Here is a 25,205-nt window from a genome sequence, read left to right on the forward strand (position 1 = left end):
GGAAGGAGGAGGAGGAGGAGGAGGGAGGGTGAGATAGAGGCGCTCGGAGATACCCTTTCTAGGATTCTTGTGTTTCACAATCATGTGATTATTTCTGGGCTGCCCCGGGGCCTCCCCGCCTCCTCCCCACTCACAACTGGGGACTTATTAGGAAAACAGGAACATGTGGCGCAGGGCTCGGTGGCCGCTCCATCAATAGGCTGGACCTCCGGGCCCCCACCCCGGCCCTCGGTGTGAAGGCAGACATTGTGCCTCGGCCAGGCCCACCAGCCCGCAGCCTGGGACCACCAGGGTCCACTCACAGGAGGCCTGGAGGGCAGCCCAGGCCAGCCGGGTACAGGGAGGTGGGGGGCGGAGGGGCTCCTGAAGGTGGCTTCATGGGGGCTGTGGCGGAGGGCAGGGGCAGAATTTGCGTGGGTTTGGGTGCCCCCTGCACCAGGCTAAACTGCGTGTGTGCTGGCAAATGGGTGTTCACAGGCTGGCACGCGGGCGAGCCCCTGCTGTGACTCAGCTGCATTGGGGCAGCCACTCAGTATTTGGCAAGGACTAGGCGGACAGGCCGCAGAAGTCACCATCACCATACTGAAACTGTCCCCAGTGACCCCAAACCAGATTGGCCAAAAGGAGGTGACCCCAAGCCCTGGGAAATGTGGCTGCCAACAAAAATTTGACGCAGCCTTTGCCAAGATCTCCTCGCAGGGCGGAGGTGCCCAGGCTCCCGGGCTGCAGCAGAGAGAGGAGGGCGTGGCAGGCCAGCATCACTCCCCCTCCCCAGCCCCCGGAGAAAGACAGCAGGTATGTAGGTGGGCTCAAGCTGGAACCTAGAGCTGCCTCCGCCTACAGCCCAGAGCCCGGCCCACCAAGAGCAGAGCCATGCTCTTGGCCACCTTCAGGCTGAGCCAAAACCCCGAGACCTGCAGCCTCAAGGTGCGGCTGGGGGCCAGAAGAGCAGGGGAGAACTATTACAGCGATGGTCACTTCTCCAAGCACCTGCCATGAGCCAAGCGTCGGGCATACGGTGTGTTCTTAACATGTCAATTGCGCATAAGCGCCATGGGAGGTACAGGCAGGAGTAGCCCCATCTCACAGATGGTGAAACTGAGGCACAGAAACAAAACACAGGGAAGAAGCCCTTCTTATGACCTCCAGGATCCACGGACAGAGGAAGCCAAGGGCCAGGTCCCATGCAGGACCACCCCTAGGCTTGGGACTAGTATTTCCGGTGGATGGGGGCAGACATCACCCGGAGAGTCAATGTCCCAGCCACACCCTCGAAGCAGGAAAGAGTCTGCCCTGGGGTACTGAAGATGGGAGAACCCCTAAGCCAGGCCCAGTGAAGGACTGGGTATGGGGTAGCATGGGGGCAGGGCAGCTCCCAAACACTGGGACCTGGGGAGAGACATGGAATGAATGAGACCTGGCCCCTGCCTGGAATAAACCCAAACAATGGCTGTTGGTTAAGAGCAGTAACAGCAGATTAGTATGCTCAGGCAGATAAAGGTATGTGTGAAAGTGGGGCACAAGTCACTCTCCCAAAAAGGTAACAGGAGGGCTATATAGGCTGGGTTTTGAGGGATGAATAGGAGTTTGTGTATGATCTGTGGGGATCAGCAGCAACTGTCCATCTAGATAAAAGAGTGATACCAACGGAAAGGGCCAAGCCACTAGAAACTACACGGCCACACAGCTAGCACCTAGAGAGCAAGGAAGACCCCTTCTTCACCTGCCAAAGCCACAGGGAGCCCCACCTCCTCCTGTCTCTCTGGGGTGTTTCCTTCACCTCCTGCCCCCACATCCCCTGCTCCCAGTGTTGGGTTTGTTCCTGCTCCACGGTCTTCTCTGGTCCTGCTTGTCAGCCTCCTGGGGAGGTGGGCCTGTGGAGCCCTGTCCCAAGATGGGCTGGCCTTTCTCAACACACCTGCCCAACATCTGGGAGTCGGCTGTGCTCTAACCCTCAGCAATCTGAGTCTCCTGACTGAGTCTGGCCTCAGTCTCCCCATTCACGAAACGGCCACACTCACCCAGGGTACCAAACTCCCATGACCTCTGCAAGGACGTTCTGCAGGGAGCAAAGTGAAGTGCATGTCATCCCTTCCCTCTTTGAATGCAGAGGAGATACCCTCTAGAACGTGGCATGGCTGGGGAACGTGGACGCAGGCCACAGATTCAGCCTCATGCCAAAAATTCCCCCTCACCTCCTCGGCTGCTGTCTTCCTGCCACCCTGAGCACCAAATCCAAACTCCTCGCCAGGGTCAACAGGGTCCCAGCCCTCACAGGACCTTGACCTCTGCTGGCCCCTCACTGTCCCCTGCACACTGAAAGCCACTACTGCCTCTGAGCCTTTGCACCTACCGTTCCCTGCCTGGAATGCTGTTCCCCACATCTTCACATGCTCTCGCCTGCCTCTTGCTCATGTCTTGACTCAGCCTCCCCTCCCCACAGAGGCCTTCCCTGACCCCCCGCAGCAGGGCGGTCCACCTCCCTCGACCACTCGTTTTCCCACCTGGCTGTCTTCACAGCACATGCGGTCAGGGATAAGGGTCTGCGTCCCACTGTTTATCTTACTGGCCACCTCCCCTGATGAGGACTCCATGAGGAGCAAGGTGCCTGCTCTGTTCTCTGCTGCACCCACAGTGCCTGGACAGTGTCTGGCTCACAGTGGATGCTCAGGAATGGTCTAAATACCTGGAAATGGAGTGCGGCTGGCTCCCTCGCTCAGGCGGTCTCTGGGGCAAAGCATTCTTGTACCTGCAGGCTGTCCGGTCCCAGCCCAGAACCCTGTCCTCTCTCCACGTCGCTGCAGCTGGCCCAGGGCCTCCCTGCCTCTCCACCAGGACCAGAAGAGGCCAGCGCTGGCCACCAAGCTGCTATCGTCCAGCAGGGCCCAGCACAGGGTTGAGGGCAGTGGGCACTTTCTCCAGGGCCATGGGGGAAGCAGTCCACATCCCGGATGTGCCTGGCCTTTCCAAGGACACGGAGTCCTCTCTGCCCCCTCCATAGAGGTGGATGAGAGGGCAGGCCCTGTCTCCCTGCTCTCCAAGCCACAATCAGGATTGCCAAGCCTCCCAGTAACCTGTTTCTGGGGTGCAGGGGCTGCCCCATTTTACAGATGGGGAAACTGAGGCTCGGAGAGGACACTTGGATAGGAGGTCACCAATCCACACAGTTCTAGGCAAAATCCCAAACCCTTCCCACCTGAACCTCTCCCATCTAGAACATTCCCCAACCCCAATATTCCCGTGGCTGATATCTCCACATCTCCTCGGCCCCTTTGGGGGCCACCTCCCGACACTGTCTCCCTGGCTGCCCCTGGTCCTGGCAAACAGCAAGTGCTCCAACAGGAGCTCCTGTCTGCATCTTCCCCATGCGGGCCCAAGGCCCAGCTTGCAGGGGACGCCAGGACACACTTGTTAGAGCTGAACTAACTCCACCCAAGGGTGGCAAAACTCAGGGACTGCTCCGGCCCAAAGGAGGGCTTCAGGCTGGGCTGCCACCTTCCGGCTGGGAGGCTGGAATTCAGGGGACTCAGCCCCAACCTGGGGGAGAAGGGAAACAGGCCTTTCTCAATCCCGCTGAAACCCGACTGCCCCCACGCACGTCCTCCCACGTTCCTGGCCTTTGGGGGCCGAGGTCTCTGCTCTGATCGTGGTGGGTGGGGCTGACGCCGCAGGGGAGGTGGCCAAGCCTGAGAGAAGCCACTGCCCAAGCTCACCTGGCTCTGAGAGGAAAGGAAAACCTAGGGACTCAAGCCAATGAGCGGCCCCGCTCACCGTGGCGTCCACCCCCTGTAGGGGCTCTCGCCAGCCAACTGAGATCCGGGCACGTTCTCATTCGAGCAGTGGCACCCCTGCAGAGACTCTGGGTCTGCGTGGCCAGGCCTCCCATGCCCAAAAAGCCTAGGAGCTGTGCTGGGGCACACAAGTCCTTAGTCACCTATGCAGACGGGTCCACGGGAGCACCAGACCCACGTTACCAAGTGCACATGCCAAGATCTAGGAACACGCAAAGACATACACACATGTCCACACACATCAAGGCGCACGCACATACACATGTGCACCCAAGTGAACACATGATGTAACCACACCCGCCCCACACCCGCCATCTCACGCACATCCACCTGTACACACATGCACACAGCCTAACGTGTACCCATGTGAACACATGCGTATGCACACAGGTGCACAGATGCACGAATACCTATATACATGCCTCACATGTGCCAATTCGTGGATGAATGTTCACGCATGTGCACACAGCACCCACAGGTATACCTGCACACATACACGCACCCACGTGTGTATGCATGGATGTGTAAGTGCACAGATAACCACAGGCCCCACATGCTGACTCATATACGCTTATACACATGTGCACACAGCCATCCAGAGGTCCACACATACACACATGCCCGCATACACACACCCAAGTGTGCTGTATCAATGCACGAATCACCACATGCTCGTCCCACACAAGCTGACTCTTACTCTAAGTATTCACATACAAGTATGCACAGCCATCCAAAGGCACACGTGTATCTAACACACATACCACACATACATCCACCCGTATACACACGTGTACCCACAGGCACACAAACCACACATACATCCACATGCGGCTCTCCTCTAGAGCACAGAAACAGACCTGACACTCATCACTCCCTAGCCTCTCCCCTGCCTGGAAGCCCCATCCTAGCCCCTTCTCTGCCACACTGGCTTCCTCATCTGCAGATTGGGGGCAGCACCTACTCACCCAAGAAGCCCCAAGCCCCCAGTCCTGCACCCAAGCCCCTCCGCTGGCTGCAGCAGTGCCTCAGGGCAACGGCCTACCCGGAGCTTCAGCTTCCTCATCTGCAAACAGAGCCCCATGCCCATGAGCCCCGTGCAGAGCTCTCCCAGGGTGGGTGACGAGCAGGAAAAGCGGCAGGTCAGAGGACGCGTGCAGCAGCCTCGCGGGGCTGAAACGGACAATCTGAAAGAACCCCTGGACCCTGGGGGCAGTTTTGATGACCAGGTGGCCGGGCATGGAGGCCAGAGGTGGGGGCCTGGCCCAGGATGCTGAGGCCACAGGACGGGGTCTGAAGCACTGCTCTGAAAATCTTCAATCAGGGGATCTGATGCTGGGCCCTACAAACAAGCATGAGGAGTGCCAAAACCCCCAAAAGGCTCTACTGAATGCTTCACGTTCACGGTGACTGTTAATGGTATTATTCTTCTTTGCCCTGCTCAGTCCCGATCACACTGTGCACACACTGAGTCCTAATCACATCATATAAACACTTTCCTTTTAAGACGCTTAAACTGGAAGACAAGGACCTGAGTCTTCTGCTGATTTCCGCATTACTCAGCAACTGGGGTTGCCGCTTCCATCAATCCTGCCTCCTCTCCACCTTGTGAATGAGCCATCTACATCTCTATTGGAAGCAGCCTTCTACCTTTCCCCAGTCGACCTAGCTCAAGGCCCGTCTCCTCTATGAAGCCCATCCTGACTGTTCCCCAGTGTCCTGAATTCCTACGGTACCAGCAACCTGTGCTGCACAAATGCCCCTTATGTATCCACACATCGCTAGCGCTGCCTCTGTGTATGTTTTATCCAGATTCCAAGTGCGTGCCTTGTCCCGGAACCAACAGGCTCCTACCTCGTGCCCACCACCTTTGAAGATCAAAGGAGACGCCAGTCCCCTCTCTGGGACTTGGCCTGTGCCATGCCCCCTCACCCTAACGCCCTCCTTCCGGCCCACCCGCTGCCTCCAAGAAGCCTTTCCCAGCACCCACTTCCAGGTCACGCTTCTGCCCTCCTGGGCCCAGGCCACCCCGTCTGCTCCTGCTCTCAGGCTGCAGCCACCCTGATGGCTGCCCTGCCATCTGTGCACACCTGCCCGGCCCCCACCCACGCAGGCAGCTCCCAGGAGGCGGGGAGGCGGGAAAAGCCTCGCTCAGCGGGTGCCTCACCAATGTGCTCCGAATGGATAATGAGCCAGACTCCAGCACTCAGAACTGCCAGGCGGGCCCTGCCCGGCAGGGAAGCTGCGTTTTCCGGCTGGCTCGAAAAACAGACCCTTGTCCTCCATCTCTCCAGGAACCAGCAGGGAAGGAAGGCGGATTAAAATTTAATCCTACTGATCCCCCAAGGGGCGGTAAGTCCTGGCTGCTCCTGCCAAAGGCGGCTGGGGGCCTCCCGCACATTAGGCTGCAGGCTTTGGAGGCTCAGAGACTCAGCCCGGGCGGAGGATCCCCACCAGCCCCCACGCCCCCAAACCAGAGGCCTCTTCCACAGGCCAGAGCTGGCCACCCGCCTCCATCTCCCCTCCCTTCCTGCCGCCTGAATATTTGCACAATAATTATTTAATGTGCATCTGCCGTGTGGTGAGCACTGTTTTAGGTGCTGGAGATGCCACTGGAAATAAAAGTGGGCAGGAATAAAATCCCTGCCCTTACGGAGTTTCCATTCATAATAAACAGAATAAATAAGTAAAACAGAAATCATGTCCCATGGGGACAAGGGCTAAGGAGAATCAGAAGCCACAAAGGAGGAAAACGGGTGTCATCCTGAAAACTCCTTTTCCTGAAAAAAGGGTTTTCAGTATTAAGTAGAGGGTTGAAACGGGTCTTGCTGAGAAGGGGCCACTTCAGCAAAGAGGGAAGTGACAGTATGAGCCTTGCAAGGAGAGGAGCTCCAGGCAGAGGGCCAAGGCACTGCAGCAATGTGCTGGGCCACTGACCTGGCCTCCACAGCTGCTGGAGAGAACCGTGTCTGCTCTCCACCGAGGATCAGAGAGGGCAGGTAGAGGTGACACTCTCAGGAGCCCTGCCCATGTCCCCTCCACTTTGGGCTCCTGGAGCCATCTCAATCTTGGCTCCAAGTCCCAGGCTCAAAGCTCACTTGCTCTGCAATCTCAGGGAGGTCTCCTTCCCTCTCTGAGCTTTGGTTTCTTGATGAGCAAAATTGAGAGAATAACAGTAGTTCTACTAAATGCAAATAGTATTCTATTAAATGCACAAGGTAAACAAACACAAGAAGAAATGAGAGCTATGATAATGACAATTAATAGCACCAGCTGGCACTTCTTTGGTGCCAGACACTGTCTGTCCTAAGGGCACTAGGAAATTACCCCTTTAGTCCCCACACCAACTGTACTAGGTGATGCCGTCGTTGTCATTGTTTTAAAGCTGTGGAGCATGAGGCACAGGAAGGTTTAAGTACAACGCTCCAGGGTCACAGAGCCAGGAAGTGGGAGAAATGGGATTTGAACCCAGGATGGCTGGCTGAAGGATGTGTGGCCCCTTGGCTCTCCTATGACTGTTACTAGTGGTGCTTGGGGTGAGGGGTCAGGGTGTGGGAGAGTGAGCCGGGCACACAGTTCCCAGGCCCCAAACAGGCTTGTCTCATTCTGCATGACATCGCTGTTTCTAGAGGTGGAGGCATAGCCAAACAGGTTGATCCAGTAGTTCCCTGCCTCAGGCTGCCACTGCAGGCACCCACCACGTGACTCGAGGCCTCCCCACCCCCACCTCAACTCTGAGCACTGATTGGCCAAGGAAGATATTACAGAAAAGGCAGCTGGGAAGGGTGGCTGGGACTACAGGCAGGAGGGGAACCAGAGAAGCCAAGGCAGGGAGAGGAGGTTCCTCATCTGTCATGCTTCACAAGGACCAGTCCCTCTCTGGGCCTCAGTTTCCTCATCCAGAAAATAAGGGAGGGGATCAACATCCACAGATCCTGAGTACATTTAGAAAAAGTACACTGTAAATCATTAAAGCCCAGCTGGTAGTGGCTTGACTGGGAAGATGGGGAGCTTACCACCTCACCAGACACAAGGTTCCACCTTGGGGGTGCACAGACCCTTAGGGTCCAGCCCCTGGAGACACTGCTCTGAGCATCCCAAGCCCCTCCAGCAAGACCAGACCCACTATAGCTGCCCCCAGTGGGATCTCCATGGGCCTCCACAGCCTGCTCCAGACTCTGTGTTTCAATCATCTCAAAGGCCCCTTCCAGGGCCCAGTGTCAGTGGAAGCCAGTGCTGAGAACTCAGGCCCTGTGGTCTGACAGCCCACAGGTTCAAATCCAGGTCCAATGCTTCCTAGCTGTGTGACTCTGGACAAGTCACTTAACCTCTCTGGGCCTTAGGAAAATGGAAATGACACCTGTACCTGCCCTTCCAGGACTGACAGGAGGGGCTGCTCCATGAAACCTCACTGCTGCGGTCATAATGTCATTATCTTTTGCCTTAAAGGGATTTCTTCTGCACCAGCACCTAAAGTGGCAGCCCCTTACCCTTGGCCATCAGCTGGACCCTGGTGCTCTCCTGGAGCCCAAAACCTCTGTTTTGTGTTGCATCCTGCTGACCAGCCACAGTCCACACCCATCTGAGTGTCTGAGCAGAACAGCCCAGAGGCCACACCAGGATGGCTTTCCACCGGTCACCTTCCCCCACCCACTCATAAACCCTGCGTCTCTGGGGGAGAGGGTGGCGAGGTCCCCTCCCCACATAGATGGAAACACTGAGGCCTGATTCATGGTGCCCCCTGTGAAGCGCCTCATGGCCAGCACCGGGGGGCAGCAGGCCAGGGCGGGGACACATACCCGGTTCTCGTCGTAGATGATCTGCACCAGGCTGCGGTGCTTCGACTCGATGGGCGGCGGTGACACGGGCTTCTCAGGCTCGGGCGGCTTGGCAGCCTCCTCCTCCAGCTGTTGCTGTGGGGAGAGGCAGAACGTGAGGGATGAGCACCCCAGCGGGCGGAAGGAGGGCTGCAGCCCCCAGGGCGCGGGGAGGCCCCCTTGCAGCCCGGGCCACGGCCGCGCACAGGAAGTCAGGCTGCTACACATTTCCTGTGAGTCACCCCAGGGACTCCGCACCCGGGAGAGGCCCCAGCTCCAGGGCCAGCTGCAGCCTCCAAGCTCCAAAGCCAGGTTCAAATCCTGCCTTCGTGACTTGCCAGCCAGGGAAGCACAGCCAAGCAGCCTCACCCTGCTAGCCCTCAGTTGCCCCATCAGTAAACGGGGCTGATTGCCGTGCCGCCATTCTGACTGTGGTGAGAACTGAATGAGTTACACAGGCAGGCACAGTCAGGCCTGCTGCGAGCCGGCATTATTACCCATTACGGTTCCTACAGGCAGCATCAGTGCTAGGAGAGGCTGTGCAGACTCCACAGCTGCACTGGTGAGACTGGAGCCCAACTCCCACTCCTACTTACTGCGTAGCCTTGAGAAGCTCCTGGACCTCTCTAAGCCTTACCTTCCTCTTCTGGAAAATGGGGATAAAAGAGTTACTACTCTAGAGAGCCGTTGTGAAGGTGAAATGAGCTCATGATGCGTGCAAAGCACGCAGCACCTGACACACAGGTGCTCCTCATCAACCCCATCATCCTCATCCTCATCACCCCCATCATCCTCATCCTCATCACCCCCATCATCCTCATCCTCACTACCCCCATCATCCTCATCCTCACTACCCCCATGATCCTCATCCTCATCACCCCCATCATCTTCATCCTCATCACCCTCATCATCCTCGTCATCCTCATGACCACCATCACCCTCATCCTCATCACCCCCATCATCCTCTTCCTCATCACCCCATCACCTGCATCCTCATCACCCTGCTCGTCCTCATCCTCATCACTGTCATCCTCATCACCCCCCTCATCTTCATCCCCATCACCCCCATTATCCTCATCCTCATCACCCCATCACCCTCATCCTCATCACCCTCATCCTCATCACCCCCATCATCCTCATCCTCATCACCCCATCATCCTCATTCTCATCACCCCCATCACCCTCATCCTCATCACCCCCATCATCCTCATCCTCATCACCCCCATCATCCTCATCCTCATCACCCCATCATCCTCATCCTCATCACCCCATCATCCTCATCCTCATCACCCCCATCACCCTCATCCTCATCACCCCCATCATCCTCATCCTCATCACCCCCATCACCCTCATCCTCATCACCCCCATCGTCCTCATCCTCATCACTGTCATCCTCATCCCTCCCCTCATCTTCATCCTCATTACCCCCCTCATCTTCATCATCTTCACCCCATCATCCTTATCTTCATCACCCCATCACCCTTATCATCCTCATGACCTCCATCATCCTTATCACCCTCATCATCCTCATCACCCTCATCCTCATCACCCCATCACCCTCATCTTCATCACCCCCATCACCCTCATCATCCTTATCCTCATCACCCCCATCATCCTCATCCTTATCACCCCCATCACCCTCATCCTCATCACCCCTTCATCCTCATCCTCATCACCCCCATCACCCTCATCCTCATCACCCTCTTCACCCTCATCCTCATCACCCTCATCCTTATCACCCCCCTCATCCTCATCACCCCCCTCATCCTCATCACCCCCTCATCCTCATCCTCATCACCCCATCATCCTCATCACCCTCATCCTCATCACGCCCATCACCCTCATCATCCTCATCACCCTCATCATCCTCATCCTCCTCACCCCCATCATCCTCATCCTTATCACCCCCATCACCCTCATCCTCATCACCCCTTCATCCTCATCCTCATCACCATCACCCTCATCCTCATCACCCTCTTCACCCTCATCCTCATCACCCTCATCCTTATCACCCCCCTCATCCTCATCACCCCCCTCATCCTCATCACCCCCCTCATCCTCATCCTCATCACCCCCATCATCCTCATCACCCTCATCCTCATCACGCCCATCACCCTCATCATCCTCATCACCCTCATCATCCTCATCCTCCTCACCCCCATCATCCTCATCCTCATCACCCCCATCATCCTCATCCTCATCACCCTCATCATCCTCATCCTCATCACCCCATCATCCTCATCCTCATCACCCCCATCATCCTCATCCTCATCACCCCCATCATCCTCATCCTCATCACCCCATCACCCTCATCCTCATCACCCCCATCATCCTCATCCTCATCACCCCATCACCCTCATCCTCATCACCCCCATCATCCTCATCCTCATCACCCCCATCACCCTCATCCTCATCACCCTCTTCACCCTCATCCTCATCACCCTCTTCACCCTCATCCTCATCACCCTCATCCTTATCACCCCCCTCATCCTCATCACCCCCCTCATCCTCATCACCCCCTCATCCTCATCCTCATCACCCCCATCATCCTCATCACCCTCATCCTCATCACGCCCATCACCCTCATCATCCTCATCACCCTCATCATCCTCATCCTCATCACCCCCATCATCCTCATCCTCATCACCCCATCATCCTCATCCTCATCACCCCATCATCCTCATACTCATCACCCCCATCATCCTCATCCTCATCACCCCATCATCCTCATCCTCATCACCCCCATCATCCTCATCACCCCCATCACCCTCATCCTCATCACCCCCATCACCCTCATCCTCATCACCCCCATCATCCTCATCCTCATCTGTCCATGTATGAACCCCCTCCTCCTAACACAGTTGGAAAGAGCATCCCATCATGCTGCCGTCTGCTTCATAGCAAGAGGGAGGCTGAAGACCAGAGGGTTTAGGGCACTGGCCCAAGGTCAGATGGAAGGCCAATGCCCCATTCTGCAATGTGACAGGGCATCACAAGTGAGATCAGAACATGGTTCTGCTCCACTTATGACGCTCGCACAGCCTGCACATTACCACAGAGCAGATCAGTATGAACCCAGAAAGGTGCCCAAGAAGAAGTGAACACAGGAAAAGCCAGAAAATCCAGGATGCTGGCTTTTACAGACTCCATCGCTGGCGGTTTGAGCAGAACTGCCTCAGTCCCACAGCGACCCCTGGTGGTCGCTTCAAGAAGGGCATCAAAATGCTCCCCCAAAGCACGGAACAAACAAAGCCAAGAAGGGGAAGAAGCCCACAGCCCCGAAAGGGTGGGCAGGAGGGAGGCTCCCTCCAGCCAGGGAAGGTGGCCCTTCCTCAGGTACTAGAGAAAATACTACCTGGGACACCTACAGAGACCCAGCTAAGAGGGTGACTAGCTCTGCTGGGCCTGGATTCAAGCCTGAGCCCCCCGCTCACCAGCTCTGCAGCCTCAGCCAGGGCCCTTCACCTCCCTGACCTCAGTGTCTACTTCAGCAGAACCTGTGGGTATATGCCTACCTCATAAGGTTGTTTGGAAGATCAAGGAGATAATGCTGAAAAAACTGCTGCACAGCAGTGACACGCTATAAAGGGCTCTCTAATGCAAATCAAAACCACAATGAGATACCGCTGTACAACCACTAGGATGGCTGGAATCAAAAACATTTTTTAAAGGAAGATAAAAAAGGGTTGGTGTGGCTAGGGACAGTGGCTCACACCTGAAATCCCAGCACTTTGAGAGGCCAAGGTGGGCAGATCACTCAAGACCAGCAGTTTGAGACCAGCTTGGGCAACATGGTGAAACCCCATCTCTACAAAAAACACAAAAATTAGCTCGGTGTGGTGATGCACACCTGTACTCCCAGCTACTCAGAAGGCTGAGGTAGAAGGATCGCTTGAGCCCAGGAGGTAGAGGCTCCAGTGAGCCAAGATGGCACCACTGCACTCCAGCCTGGGCAACAGAGTGAGAATCCATCTCAGAAAAAAAAAAAAAAAAAGCTGGGGGGCGGTCGGTGAGGATGTGGAAAACCAGGAAACCAGGAATCTTCATGCATTGCTGGTAAGAATGTAAAATGGGGCAGCTGATGTGGAAAACAGCCTGGAAAGTCATCAGCAAATTAAACCTAGAGTTACTGTACGACACGACCCAGCAATTCTGCTCCTAGGTATACACCCATGAGAACTGAAAACAGGTGTCCCAACAAAAACTTCAACACAAATGTTCAACAGCAGCACTATTCACAACAGCCACAGCCCAAATGGCCACAGATGATGAAATAAACAAAAGGAGGCATCTCCATACAACGGAATATGTTTCAGCCATAAAAAGGAATGAAGGATGGAGACAAGAGACAACATGATAAACTCCAAAACCATGACACTATGTGGAAGAAGCCAGAAAGGACGCATACTGTGTGATGCCCTATATAGGAAATGTCTAGAACAGGTCAGTCCATAGAGACAGAGAGTAGGGGAACGGGGAGTGGCTGCTTTAGCTCCTATGAGGCTTCCCTGTGGGTTGTTGAAATGGCTGGGAACCAGAGAGAGGTGACAGCTGCACAACACTGCAAATGTACGAAATGCCACTGAATTGTGCACTTTAAAATAATTATGCTTGAGAATTTCACTTTTAAAAAATGCCAAAGTGGAATTTAGAGGGGAAAAAACAAACAAACAAAAACCTAACCATTGAGGGCTGCCTTGAGCCACCTGGCTTCCAGCTGCAGTCACCAATGTGTGCCAGTGACCCGCAGCTTCAGCCCCACCCCAAGGCCAGGCCTGGAAGCCTAACGGTGCGGTACCAGGCTGGCCCTGGCAATGCCTGCCCACGCCGCTGGGGCCCGGCCCCTCTCGGGATGCCTGTGCCACCAACATGAGACCTACCCACTGCCCACTGAAGCCTAGGACAGTTGGCAGAGTCTCCAGGACCGGGTCTCACTGCTGGACTATCCTCAAATCCTGGTTCCCCCAACCACGTGACAGCCACGATGGACACTTGAAATCAATGCTCTCCCCCTGGAGCGTCCTTCAAAACCCAGCTACCAGGGCACCTCTTCCTGGAAGCCTACTCTCACCAGCCTTCACCCACCTGCCTACAGTGGCTAAAATGAGCCCTTGATCCTCCTTGGAGCCCCTACTTCCTTGTCTGGAGGGCACTAGATATGAGCCTGTTTCTCCCATTAGTCTAGACGCTCCCTGGGGCCCAGACAGTGTCACAATGACTCAATCAACCATTTTTAATGAGCACCTACTATGTACCCCATGCTGCTCAGAACACAGCAGTTAACAGGGAGACAAGGAGAGGACCACTGTATAACAAAGCTGGGTCTATATTAATTCAAATAATGATGTCACCAGCAGGGTGATGAGACAGATCAGTGATCAGCAAAATTTCTTTTTGTTGAGATAGAGTCTCACTCTGTTGCCCAGGCAAGAGTGCAGTGGCAATCATGGCTCATGCAGCCTAAACCTCCTGGGCTCAGGCACTCCTGCCTCAGCCTCCTGAGTAGCTGTGACCACAGGCATGTGCCTCCACACCTGGCTAATGTTTTAAATTATTTGTAGAGACAGGGTCTCGCTATGTTGCCCACGCTGGTCTCAAACTCCCGGGCTCAAGTGATCCTCCAGCCTCAGCCTCCCAAAGTGCTGGGATTACAGGCATCAGCCACCATGCCCAGCCCAAAGCTTTTCTTTAAAGGCCTAAACAGCAAATATTTTTGACTTTGCAGGCCACACAGGTCTCTGTTGTGATGACTTAACTCTGCCACTGTGGCAGAAAAGCAGTCATATAAACACACATGTGTATACAGATACACAAACAAGTGGTCGTGGCTGTGCCAATAAAACTTTATTTACAAAAACCAGCAGCAGCTAGAATTGGCTGGATTGGCTGAACCCGGGATAGAGGAGGGTTGGGGGTGTGTGTTCCTGTACAAGGCTGACAGTGGCCTCTTGGTGTCAGGGACATCTGAGCAGAGACCTGAATGATACCAGGGAGCAAACCATGAAGAGCTGGGAAAAGGCAGATTATCAAAGAATTGTATATTAACTCATATTTAAAACAAAGTTATAAAATGAATGTTATAAATATTTATATCAGCTTTTTCTCCGCTTGTCTTTGTGTGGTTTCAACAGTGACAATGAGGATTTATTTTTAATCTCGGGATCTTGCTCCCTCCTCTACAAGTTGTCCATTTTACAGGCAAGGAAACCAAGGCTCCAAGAGATGAAGGTTCCAGGGCCACACAGCTAGTAAAGAGCAGTTAGGAGGCCAGTCCATTCAGATTCCAGAGCCAGGGGCTGTTTCCCCACATTACAGATAAGGAAAGTGAAGCACAGAGAAGGGACTGCCCACCCCACGTTGCCTGGTACTGGAAGAAACAGGATCTGAACCTGGACAGACTGGCTAGAAATCCTGAACTTTCACCCTCCATTCTTGTGCTGTCTAATGCGGCAGCCTGTGTGGCTATTCAAAGGCACATTTAATACGTATATTAAATAAAAATTAAAAATCAGTTCCTCAGTCGCAGTAGGCACATTTCAAATGCTCAACAGTGGAACATGGCTATCCTGCAGATACACAGTGTTTCCATCATGGCAGAAAGTTCTGTGGATGTGCTCCTGTCCAATAAACGTAAAGGGCATAAAAACCAGTGAGCACCCAGGAACTTGGGAAGGGCTTGGCACATGTCTGTGACACCGCTGTCACTGCTGCTAGAATGGAGACTCAGAACAAACACTCCCCCTCCCCCTGCCCATTCACACCTGCTTCTTCTTCAGCTTAGAGATCTGCTGCTCTACCATGGTGATCTCTCGGTCCACGCGGTCCATGTTCTGGATCAGCTCCTCCTTGGACAGCCGTGGCGGCACCAGCTCCAGCTCAGGGTCAGTGTGCGGGGGGCTGGGGGGAGACACCGGTTCCAGCTTGCCCGTCAGGCTACGGTCCTGTGGCAGAAAAAAAACGGGCATGGGGTCAGCACAGGGGACACCCCCCAGTCTGTACAACCCTGTGATGGTTAATACTGTCAACCTGATTGGATTGAAGGAGGCAAAGTATTGATCCTCGGTATGTCTGTGAGGGTGTTGCCAAAGGAGATTAACATTTGAGTCAGTGGGCTGGAGAAGGCAGACCCACCCTTAATCTGTGTAGGCACCATCTAATCAGCTGCCAGCGAATATAAAGCAGACAGAAAAATGTGCAAAGGCGAGACTGGCCTAGCCTCCCAGCCTACATCTTTCTCCCGTGCTGGATGCTTCCTGCCCTCGAACATCACACTCCAAGTTCTTCAAGCTTTGGGACTCAGACTGGCTTCCTTGCTTCTCAGCCTGCAGATGGCCTGTTGTGGGACCTTGTGATCGTGTGAGTTAATACTCCTTAATAAACTCCCCTTTATGTAATATATATATATATTTTTTCTATTAGTTCTGTCCCTCTAGAGAACCCTGACTAATGTAGTTGCCAACTTTTTGCCTGCTGCCATCCATGTAAGATGTGACTTGCTCCTCTTTGCCCTCCGCCATGATTGTGAGCCCTCCACAGCCACATGGAACTGTGAGTACAATTAAACCTCTTTCTTTTTTAAATTGACCAGTCTTGGGTATGTCTTTATCAGCAGCATGAAAACGGACTAATACACACCCCCTCCCCAATACACCCCGGGTTTCCATCCCTGACTCCAGGCCCAGAGTCCTGGACATCTGTCAGGACAGTCCTCACCTGTTCAAGGATCCCATTCCCATCCCAGCCATCACCCATTCTCCAAAATTCAGAGTCCCTTACAGCCTTCAAGATGCGGTTCAAATGCTCTTGCTACATGAATGGTTTCCCAGCCTCTCCTCAAGTTGTGAAGTCTTCCAACTCCCTGTTCGCGTAACACACCTCTCTTCTTCCACTTACCCCATCTGTGTGTTCCCCACCAGCCCAAGGAACGAAGACCCACAGCCTCCATTCTCCCAAGGCCTGGCCTCTGCATACCCTCTGTAAACATTCATCCATGAAGCTCAGTCCAAACACGCAAGTTCCAGAACCATGCAGCCAACACACACGTGGCTTTGCAGAAAACATATGTTCCCAAACACACGGAAAAGCCATCAGAACGGGCTACAGTTAAGCTAAAAGGAGTTATCTCGGCAGCAGGGCAGAAGAGGGTATTTTTACTTTCTTCTTTTTATTTGCCCGTTATTTTTTCTGATCTTCTTTCACTGAGAGTCACTCTTTGTGTAATACAGCTGTTTTGAAAATGTGCTTAACAACAAAGGAAGCCTGCATTCAGTTATCCATGGACGCCTTCATCCCACCAGCTAAAGTCTGGTGCACCCAGGCTGTGCTGGAAACACTCTCAGGATAAGGAGGTTAGAAAAAACAACCCAGGCCTCACCTGTGCAGCCCTGGGTTCAAATCCCAGCCCCCTCTGCCACTCTCCAGTTCCGTGACCTCCAGCAGGTCATTCAACTGCTTCCTGCCTCAGTTCCTCATCTGCCCAATGGGGAGAACAGCTGGCACCTCCCCGGTCCTTGTGAGTCTTGAATGAGTTAATGGCTCTGAGCCTGGCATACCGTAAGCCTCAATAAATGTTGGCTGGGATGGTCCTCCCCTAGCTGGGCTCCAGAACCCAGCCCCCGCCCTGTGCCATCCTTGGGGCCAAGCCGGCAGCTGCTGGCAGACAAGGCCCAGAGCAGCGCCAGGCCACCACCTCCCCGCCCCCGCAGCAGCTGCACCCAGAGGACACAGGGTGCATTATTCTCCGGACAACTGCAGCCCGGGGGCCACCGAGTGCCCCACCAACCTCAGGATTCACAGAGGCTGCATCATCTTCTGTCCACTCCTGCCATCCTCAGGGCCTCTGTCCTCCCCTCACCCCACAGAGCCCCAGCAAGACCCACAGGGGCCAAGAGTCTTGGAGTCACATTAGGTTTGCCTCTGGCCTCTGTTACCATGTGAGATGTGGGGGCAAGGACAGCAGGGGCCTGGACAACCCGGTGCTCCCTCCACACACACGGACTCCTCGAGGGAAACAGAGAAAAGGGCTCATATCCCTCAATCGCCCCAATGCAGTCCTCCATGCTCCTCAGGCCACCTCCCCCAGGGACACCTAGAAATCACACCTGGGGCCGCTCACAGCTCAGCCTATCCCAGTCCTCTGCACACCCCATGAAGTCCTCTGCACACCCCATGAAGTGGATCCCACAACAGCCCTCCGAGGGGACTGCTGCTCCATCTCCATTACGCAGAGGCAGAAACAGAGCCTGGAGGCCACTGGGGCTGGATGCCAGAGGCCGGCACTTTCCTATAAAGGGCCAGATGGTAAAAATAGCTCAAGCTTTGAGGGCCACAAGGTCTCTGTCTCATCTACTCACCCCTGCCATTGTATTGCAAAAGCAGCCACAGGCAACGGGGAACAAATGGGCATGGCTGTGTGCCAATAAAACTTTATTTACAAAAACACACTGAGGGCCAGATTTGGAGCTTGCTGGAGTTTGCTGGCCTCCTGCTCTAAGCAATTCACAAATCTTAATCCACGTAACCGTCATAACCACCGTGGGAAGTGGGATTTCTGTTTGACGACATGCCCAAGGCCACTCAGCATCCTACCTTGGAAGGTGCTTGAAGGGGGAGGCTGCAGGGGCTCCCACGTCAGAAATGGCCACACATCTGTTCACCCCACAGAACCGTGGGGCTGAGCCATGTGGGGACTCCACGTGGGGTCCCAGCCACACATCCGTTCACCCCACAGAACCATAGGGCTGAGCATAAGCGCCAAAGCAGCACCCCTTCCAGGGACCCAGAGTGCAGGACCTCCAGAAACTCAAGGCAAAAGTGTGTGTGGAAGAAAAACTCCCTAGAAAAAGCCTCAGGAGTGTGTATGCACGTACCAGTGGGTGTGGGGCCCTCACTGCTCCCCAACAGGAAGGCAGGCAGGGGGCCATGGGCATCTGACCCCACCCACAGCAAACCATGGACAGCTCATGCGTCTGGCACCCCCGGGCCTTTGCACAGGCTGGCTCCGCTACCCAGAGTGCCCAACACCCCTTCTGTGCCAACTGACGTGAGACATCCCCACGCCACCGCCCAGGCCCTCACTGCGGTCCACCTTGGGTGCTTGGCTGGTCTCTCCCTACAGCCCATGTCATTTCTTGAGGTTCTTAAGACAAAAGGTGGCAGCAAACATGGCACCCAGAGCCCGGTCGCACTACTGGTGGCAAGAAACATCTCCGCTATCCTATCTCTGCTCTTCCACCTGGACCAAGAAGAGAGATAACAGAGCAAGGACAAGGATGTGGAAGGAAGGGCTATGGGGGCCAGGCCACCCTAAAACTCTGAGAGCAAACTGCTCGTCCAACCTGGGAATAATTCTCCAAAGCAACATTAACAAAAAGAAGATTTCCATCCCCAGGGCTAACAGGCAGCACCAGGAGTAAAAGCAGCGGCTGGCAACCACTAGCAACACTTGGAAAAGTTGCTGAAAACTTACTTCCTTTAAACTCTCCATGGATAAAAGCCGTTGTCTTTAATGGGTTCTTCTTTAAGTTCGGGTTTAGCTTTTATTCGCAGCAAAATTGCACAAGTAAGTCCATCACCTGATGAACAGATAAATAAAACATGGCATATCCATACAAGCAATGTGAAGGGCTGGACATGGAGGCCGAGGCAGGAGGATTGCTTGAGCCCAGGAGTTCAAGACCGCCTGGGCAACATAGCAAGACCCCATCTTTATTAAAAAAAAAAAAAAAAAAGGAATGAAGCACTGACCCAGGCTACACTGTGGATGAACCCCGAGAATATGATGCTGAGTGGAAGTGGACAGACATAAAAGGCTGCAGAGTGTACAATTCCACTTACAAGAAATGTCCAGAATAGGCAAATCCAGAGAGATGGACAGTGATTCGTGGTTGCCAGGAAAAAGGAGGAGGGGGAAGTGGGGGGTGACATGGTTTGGCCGTGTCCCCACCCAAATCTCATCTTGAATTGTAGTTCCCATAATTCCCACATGTCATGGGAGGGGCCAAGTGGAGGTCATTGAATCATGGTGGCGGTTTCCCCCGTCCTGTTCTCATGATGGTGAGTGAGTTCTCATGAGATCTGATGGTTTATAAGGGGCTTTCCCCACTTTTGCTCAGCACTTCTTGCTGCTGCCATGTGAAGAAGGACGTGTTTGCTTCCCCTTCCACCACGACTGTGAGTTTCCTGAGGCCTCTCCAGCCATGCAGAACTGTGAGTCAACTAAACCTTTTTCTATTATAAATTACCCTGTCTCGGGTATGTCTTTATTAGCGGTGTAAGAACAGACTAACACAGGGAGTGACTGATTAATGAGTATGGGGGTCTCCTTTTGGGGTGATGAGAATGATCTAGAACTAGACAGGTGACAGCTGCACAACATTGTAAATGTCCTACAAGCCAACGAGCTCTTCACTTTAATGTGGTTACTTTTTTGTGAACCGACCCTCAACTGAAAAAGAAGAGGCAAACCCGGATTGCCAAGAGCGCTTCCCCTGGTGCTGGGTTTCCCAGGACGGGGGCTGAGGGAGCCTGGCGGTCAGGCCTGCAGGTGCACTCCTGATGACTGTCCACCTTCCCACTCACCCAAAGCTGCAGGGAACAAAACAACAAACTAATACACCCCGCACAAGTTGCCAGGGGGCAGTGGGTACCTCTTACTCATCAGATGCCCCTGGTGTAAAACTTCAAGCTAGCGTGAAAGAGAAAAGTTTATTATGCAAAACTGAAGACAGAGAGGCAGAAAAGCCCCTGGGCTCCCCTGTGCCAGCTCCAGGAAAAAGCAGGGCCCAGCTTCACGCACTCCCAATACACCCCCTACTCCGGCCACAATGACAGGTTCTAGGACAGGCATGGGCCCACTCATGGTGAGGAGGAAAAGCAGTTTGGGGCTAGAAATGCGGAGAGGAGGAGGAAGAGTTCTCTCTTTTTGCTGGCCTTGAACCTGGAGGAAGGCCTGGAGTCACCGGCTTCCTTCCTGCTAACACACCAAGACCCTGTGAAAGATGGCAGAGCCAAGGGATGAAAAGGGACAGGGTCCTGAGGACATCGTGTCACCTAGATCAAGCTGTTACCTGAAGCTAACCAATGCTGGACTTCAGTTATGTGAGCCAGAATTCATGTTTATATTTGATAGGGGCTGTCTGTCCCCCTTAGGGATTTTCAGAGATAGTGCTATTTGTGACAATTCTAAAGTCCCCAAAACAAAGTTCGGTGAATTCCCAAGGAAGTCTCTGATGCCACAAAACTCCGGAGGCTGAAGAGCAGAGAAGCATCAGAAAACAGGAACACGGTGGGGCAGAGGGGGCACACACAGAAAAATCCCATCAAATTCCTGCCTCAGGCGCCCAGCTGAATTCCACACAGCAGATGCAGAAAACCTCTCAACTCGCTCTCCCAGGCATCTTCCCTTGCTCAGACTTTCCAAATCTCTTCACGGCCTGGAGCAATTACTGCGGCCAGGCTGGTCAGGCCCCAGCACCAAGCTCATCACACCTCCACCTTGTGGTCCAAGCAGAGAGGAGAGAGAGACAGACACAGAGACGAAGACAGACAGACAGATCGAGAAACAGAAATGGACATAGATGAAGACAGAAACAGAGACAGAAAGACAGAGACGTGGTGACAGACACACACAAACAGAAAGAGATAGAGATAGAGGGACACAAAGAGAAAGAGATGGAGAGGCAGAGACACAGACAGAGACAGACACAGAGACTAAGAGAGATCCCAGAGGGCGCACCACAGGCAGAGGCATTCCTGACAAGAAGAGGGAAAGCCAGGCAGGCAGAAAGAACCACAGAGCAACGGTAAGGGACGGAGACCCTCTAGAACCCACAGAGCAACGGTAAGGGATGGAGACCCTCCAGAACCCACAGGCCAGAGCGCACGGACGTGCTGGAGAGGCGGGCAGGCAGCAACTCACCCCTCGGGCCTGCTCTCTGCGCAGAGACAAAACGCGCACCTGGGGGACAACTGCCCACTCAGGGGTTGGTCACCCTCCAAGGCTGGGCCCTGAGCTGCCTGCGCACAAACACATGCACACACACGTGCACATGCACACACACGCACACACAAACACACGCACACATGCATATACACACATGCACACTCACGCACATGCACGGACACATGCACACACGTGCGCACACAAACACACATACACACGTGCAACACATGCACACTCACGCACACACACAAACACGCATGGACACACGCACGCACACACAGGTACATGCACGCACACAGGCACATGTGTGCACACACGCATACACACACACACACAAACACGCAGGGACACACACAGGCACATGCGCGCATACACACGCACATGCGCGCACACGCACACACACACCCGCACCCACACACAAACGCGCACACACACGCACGCGCGCGCGCATGCACACACACACCCTGGCCTGCTATCCATCCAGGCCCCACTTCAGGGGAGTTGTTCAAATGGAAACATCTCTCCCAGGAGGCTGAGCTAAAATTCTCTCCTGCCTTCTGTAACAACAAAACAAAACAAAAGAGGAGAAAGCAGATTCCAGTGCTAATGGGGGATGCCAGGCAGAGGGAGGAGGGCACCCCACCAGGGAGACCAGAGGGGAGACCCACAGCAGCAGGTCAACCTGGAGGCAGGCATGGGGTGCACTCCCAGCTGCCTGGGCCTGAATCCCGTTCCCCCACGTCCAGCTCGCTCAGCCTGGGGCCGTCTACAAAAGGGGGTCACAGACCCAGCCTCCTTGGGCTGGGAAGAGATCAGGGAATGACACTGGCTGGGCATGACTTGGCACGTGGCAGGCAGTCGGCGCTCACTTAATGGCACCCGCCATCACTGCAGCATTCTTACCACTGCGTGAATGCCTCCTGCGTGCCAGCCTCCTGATAAAGGAGGTGCCTCACCCTAGGGGTCAACCATTCAATCCAATCCGGCCGCACTGGGCAGAAAAGGGGACCCTGTAGGCCTGAGTGGCCACTTCCCTCCCCGGGGCTGTCTCCCAGTCCCCACCGCCCACCCCTACTCCCGCTGCAGGAGGAGGATGGCCTTTGCCCTGAGGCTGCTAAGGAGCTTAGGGTGCCCCAGGGCTGTGCAGGGAGGGGCCCGTGTCACAGCTGGCCGGGCACCAGGCTACAACAAGGATTAGGATGCCACCTGGCCACAGCCCCACCCTGGCCTGGGCAGTCAGACACAGCTGGGTGGCTGAGTGACCCTGGGGGACTGAAGCCTCTGGGGACACTGCCTGCGATTCCCCCACCAGCCCTGCCATCGGCATCCTCTGTGGAAGCTGGAGAGAGAACAAGCCTCCAGCCTGGTATGTCCTGAGCTTTACTGAAACCACAGCAAACTCCCACAGCAGCAAACCACAGGTGCTTAATCTGTGCACATCCTCACCACCGCCACCGTCTAGGTTCCACTTTCTGTTTCAAAGAGGAGTGAAATCAAAGGGCTGTGGAGGGCACTGGAGGCGTGGCAGGCCCCAGGCTGGACACACACGTGGGAGGTGTCGTTCTCCAGCCAAGAAATGGCCACGGGCCAAGCACCCCCAGGCGCCCTTGTCCGGCTGTGAGTTGTGAGTTCCTGCAAGGGCTGACTGGGCTCACAGGACCCTGGACTCCAGGCGAGTGGGGGAAGGAGGGGGAGCGGATGGGGGTAGGGGGTGGGGGAGCAAGGGAATGGGGGAGGTGAGTGGATGGGGGAGGGGCAAGGCCACTGGTGGGAGATGATGGCAGGCAGAACCCATGGGTGAGGGGCGGCTGGGAGGTGAGGGGGAGGGGCAGGTAATGAAGGCAAGGACAGATGGCCGCAGGCAGATGGGCTGGGTGGCGCTGGGTGGTGGCTGGGAGTGGCTCTGTGGTAGGGAGGTTGCCCCAGGGGATGAGCAGGGAGAGATGGCAGGAGCTGAGGAAGCAGGGGGTGAAGGGGAGTGAGCAGGACAGGGGGGCTGTTTGGGTGGAAAGAAAGAGAGGGAGGAAGAAGGAGGGAGGAAGGTGTAGAAGGAGAGAAGGAAGGGGAGGAAGGGCAGGAAGGATGTGCTGGAAGGGTTGGGCGTCGGGGCAGGGATGCTGGCTGGGGTACCCGAGGGGGCAGTGCCCGAGAGGAACTGGCATCGACACCAGTCCCAAGCCCAGACCCAAGTGCAGGCGGCCCAAGCCCCAGGCCACAGAGACCCCCTTCAAGGCCGGCAGGGCCCCTGTGGCTGAATCTCACACCCCAGGAGGACGTGGTGGGGCTGCAGCCTCAGCCATGAGTGGCCTCGAGAGTCCCCACAGGGCTAGCCACAGGTCTCCCCTGCCATGCAGGCCCTGGAGGGCAGCCAGGGCTGGAAGGAGCGAGGAAAGAGGAATGTGCCTGGGGGAGGGCGCTCCTGCGGAGGGCACAGCCGGTGCAAAGGTCCCCAGGTGGGAATGTGCCTGGCGTGTTTGAGGAACTCCAGGGTGGCCTGGGAGGCTGTACGTGAGCGGTTGAGAGGGCTGCTGCAGGGAGATGAGGTCAGGGAGGTGACGGGGCTGGATCACGCCGGACCTGCAGCCCATGGCAAGGATTTTGGCTTTTTCCTGCTTGAGACAGGAGCCATGGATGGTTTGGAGCACAGGGGGGAACACACAGGGGGATGCAGTCGTCTGCCTTTATAAGAGCCCTCTGGCTGCTGCTTGGAAGATAAACTGAAGGGAGTAGAGGGAGGCAGGAGCAGGGAGACCCAGGAGGAGGCTACTGCAAAGTTACTGGAGAGCAATGACGAGCTCAGGCCGGGGGTTGCCTCAGGTGTGGGCAGAAGGCTGGAATTGAGATATTTTAGGGCAGAGGTGTCAGGATTTGCTGATGGACTGGAAGTACGCAGGAGAGCAGGGAGGTGGCCAGGGTGGAGTCCCTGAGTGCCAACAAGAACACAGCTGCATCCGCCGGGGGAGGTTCCTGAGTGGGCTCTCAGGCGCATGTGGTCTGTTGGCTAGGAGTTCATTAACTGACCTCCACTTTCCTGTGACAACTTGGTGAGGCGGGGACTGCCCCAGTGGCAGGGAGGCCAAGCCAGCCAACGACCACACAGACACCCCAGCCCCTCCCTCCCCTGGCCCCAGAGGCAGCCCTGTGGGTATCTGGCAGGTGTGCAGGTGTCGGGGCCACAGCCACTCAGAGCAGGAGGGGAAGCCCAGCCATCCCAGCCCCAGGACGGCACCCCCACCTCCTGCCAGCCCAAGCCCACCCCAGGGATATCCCAGGTTCCACGCAGGTATCCTCTCTCCCCGAGAGAAGGCCGAGTCTGGCCCAGGTGGCCTGGCCCCGCAGCCAGACCACCACCCATGCCGGCTCACGGGTGCCAAATAGTTCCCACGCATGGGGCCCACAGCCGAGCCCTCTACCCACATGACCAGGTGACACCCTGCCCACAAGGTCCCAGATCAGTGAGGAAGAAATGGGGATCAGAGAGGCACAAAGGCAGCACAGCTGTGGAGGTGGGGGTGGTGGAAATCGCACCTGGGTCACCTGAGGGCAGATGGACGGAGGGCCCTGGGATAAGTGAGTGTGCCCAGGTGAGGCCTGGGCCCACCTGCAATGCCAGGCAGCCCCCCATGGAGATGCAGACGAGCCTGAAGTTGTCTGGCT

The 25,205-nt window shown here is 55.3% G+C and overlaps 1 protein-coding gene across 3 annotated transcripts in view, besides 10 other annotated features; it reads right to left on the bottom strand.

Annotated features, from left to right (window-relative positions):
• NCOR2 (nuclear receptor corepressor 2) overlaps positions 1–25,205 on the bottom strand; it is a 243,198-nt gene that overhangs the window by 133,171 nt on the left and 84,822 nt on the right. For all 3 annotated transcript variants that reach the window (NM_001077261.4, NM_001206654.2, NM_006312.6), the window contains exons 6-7: positions 15,367–15,546; positions 8,588–8,701 (exon numbers count right to left, since the gene is read on the bottom strand). In NM_001077261.4, coding sequence (NP_001070729.2) covers positions 8,588–8,701; positions 15,367–15,546 — 294 coding nt within the window. The remainder of the gene's footprint in view (positions 1–8,587; positions 8,702–15,366; positions 15,547–25,205) is intronic.
• Positions 5,013–5,579: an enhancer, noted in NCBI's record as "H3K4me1 hESC enhancer chr12:124947144-124947710 (GRCh37/hg19 assembly coordinates)". NCBI's record gives its function as "activates a minimal SCP1, AML or CMV promoter by ChIP-STARR-seq in primed H9 embryonic stem cells {active_cell/tissue: H9 hESC(primed)}" and the evidence as "EXISTENCE:reporter gene assay evidence [ECO:0000049][PMID:30033119]".
• Positions 5,580–6,147: an enhancer, noted in NCBI's record as "H3K4me1 hESC enhancer chr12:124947711-124948278 (GRCh37/hg19 assembly coordinates)". NCBI's record gives its function as "activates a minimal SCP1, AML or CMV promoter by ChIP-STARR-seq in naive H9 embryonic stem cells {active_cell/tissue: H9 hESC(naive)}" and the evidence as "EXISTENCE:reporter gene assay evidence [ECO:0000049][PMID:30033119]".
• Positions 8,529–8,598: an enhancer, noted in NCBI's record as "active region_7287". NCBI's record gives its function as "activates an Ori minimal core promoter by ATAC-STARR-seq in GM12878 lymphoblastoid cells {active_cell/tissue: GM12878}" and the evidence as "EXISTENCE:reporter gene assay evidence [ECO:0000049][PMID:35858748]".
• Positions 8,588–8,701: an enhancer, noted in NCBI's record as "conserved acetylation island sequence 32". NCBI's record gives its function as "activates a minimal heat-shock promoter by reporter assays in Jurkat T cells {active_cell/tissue: Jurkat}" and the evidence as "EXISTENCE:reporter gene assay evidence [ECO:0000049][PMID:17135569]".
• Positions 8,699–8,908: a silencer, noted in NCBI's record as "silent region_5060". NCBI's record gives its function as "represses an Ori minimal core promoter by ATAC-STARR-seq in GM12878 lymphoblastoid cells {active_cell/tissue: GM12878}" and the evidence as "EXISTENCE:reporter gene assay evidence [ECO:0000049][PMID:35858748]".
• Positions 21,267–21,776: an enhancer, noted in NCBI's record as "H3K27ac-H3K4me1 hESC enhancer chr12:124963398-124963907 (GRCh37/hg19 assembly coordinates)". NCBI's record gives its function as "activates a minimal SCP1, AML or CMV promoter by ChIP-STARR-seq in naive H9 embryonic stem cells {active_cell/tissue: H9 hESC(naive)}" and the evidence as "EXISTENCE:reporter gene assay evidence [ECO:0000049][PMID:30033119]".
• Positions 22,286–22,795: an enhancer, noted in NCBI's record as "H3K27ac-H3K4me1 hESC enhancer chr12:124964417-124964926 (GRCh37/hg19 assembly coordinates)". NCBI's record gives its function as "activates a minimal SCP1, AML or CMV promoter by ChIP-STARR-seq in primed H9 embryonic stem cells {active_cell/tissue: H9 hESC(primed)}" and the evidence as "EXISTENCE:reporter gene assay evidence [ECO:0000049][PMID:30033119]".
• Positions 22,796–23,303: an enhancer, noted in NCBI's record as "H3K27ac-H3K4me1 hESC enhancer chr12:124964927-124965434 (GRCh37/hg19 assembly coordinates)". NCBI's record gives its function as "activates a minimal SCP1, AML or CMV promoter by ChIP-STARR-seq in primed H9 embryonic stem cells {active_cell/tissue: H9 hESC(primed)}" and the evidence as "EXISTENCE:reporter gene assay evidence [ECO:0000049][PMID:30033119]".
• Positions 24,385–24,574: an enhancer, noted in NCBI's record as "active region_7288". NCBI's record gives its function as "activates an Ori minimal core promoter by ATAC-STARR-seq in GM12878 lymphoblastoid cells {active_cell/tissue: GM12878}" and the evidence as "EXISTENCE:reporter gene assay evidence [ECO:0000049][PMID:35858748]".
• Positions 24,585–24,674: an enhancer, noted in NCBI's record as "active region_7289". NCBI's record gives its function as "activates an Ori minimal core promoter by ATAC-STARR-seq in GM12878 lymphoblastoid cells {active_cell/tissue: GM12878}" and the evidence as "EXISTENCE:reporter gene assay evidence [ECO:0000049][PMID:35858748]".

Source organism: Homo sapiens, chromosome 12, assembly GCF_000001405.40.
Source record: "Homo sapiens chromosome 12, GRCh38.p14 Primary Assembly".
NCBI lineage: Eukaryota > Metazoa > Chordata > Mammalia > Primates > Hominidae > Homo > Homo sapiens.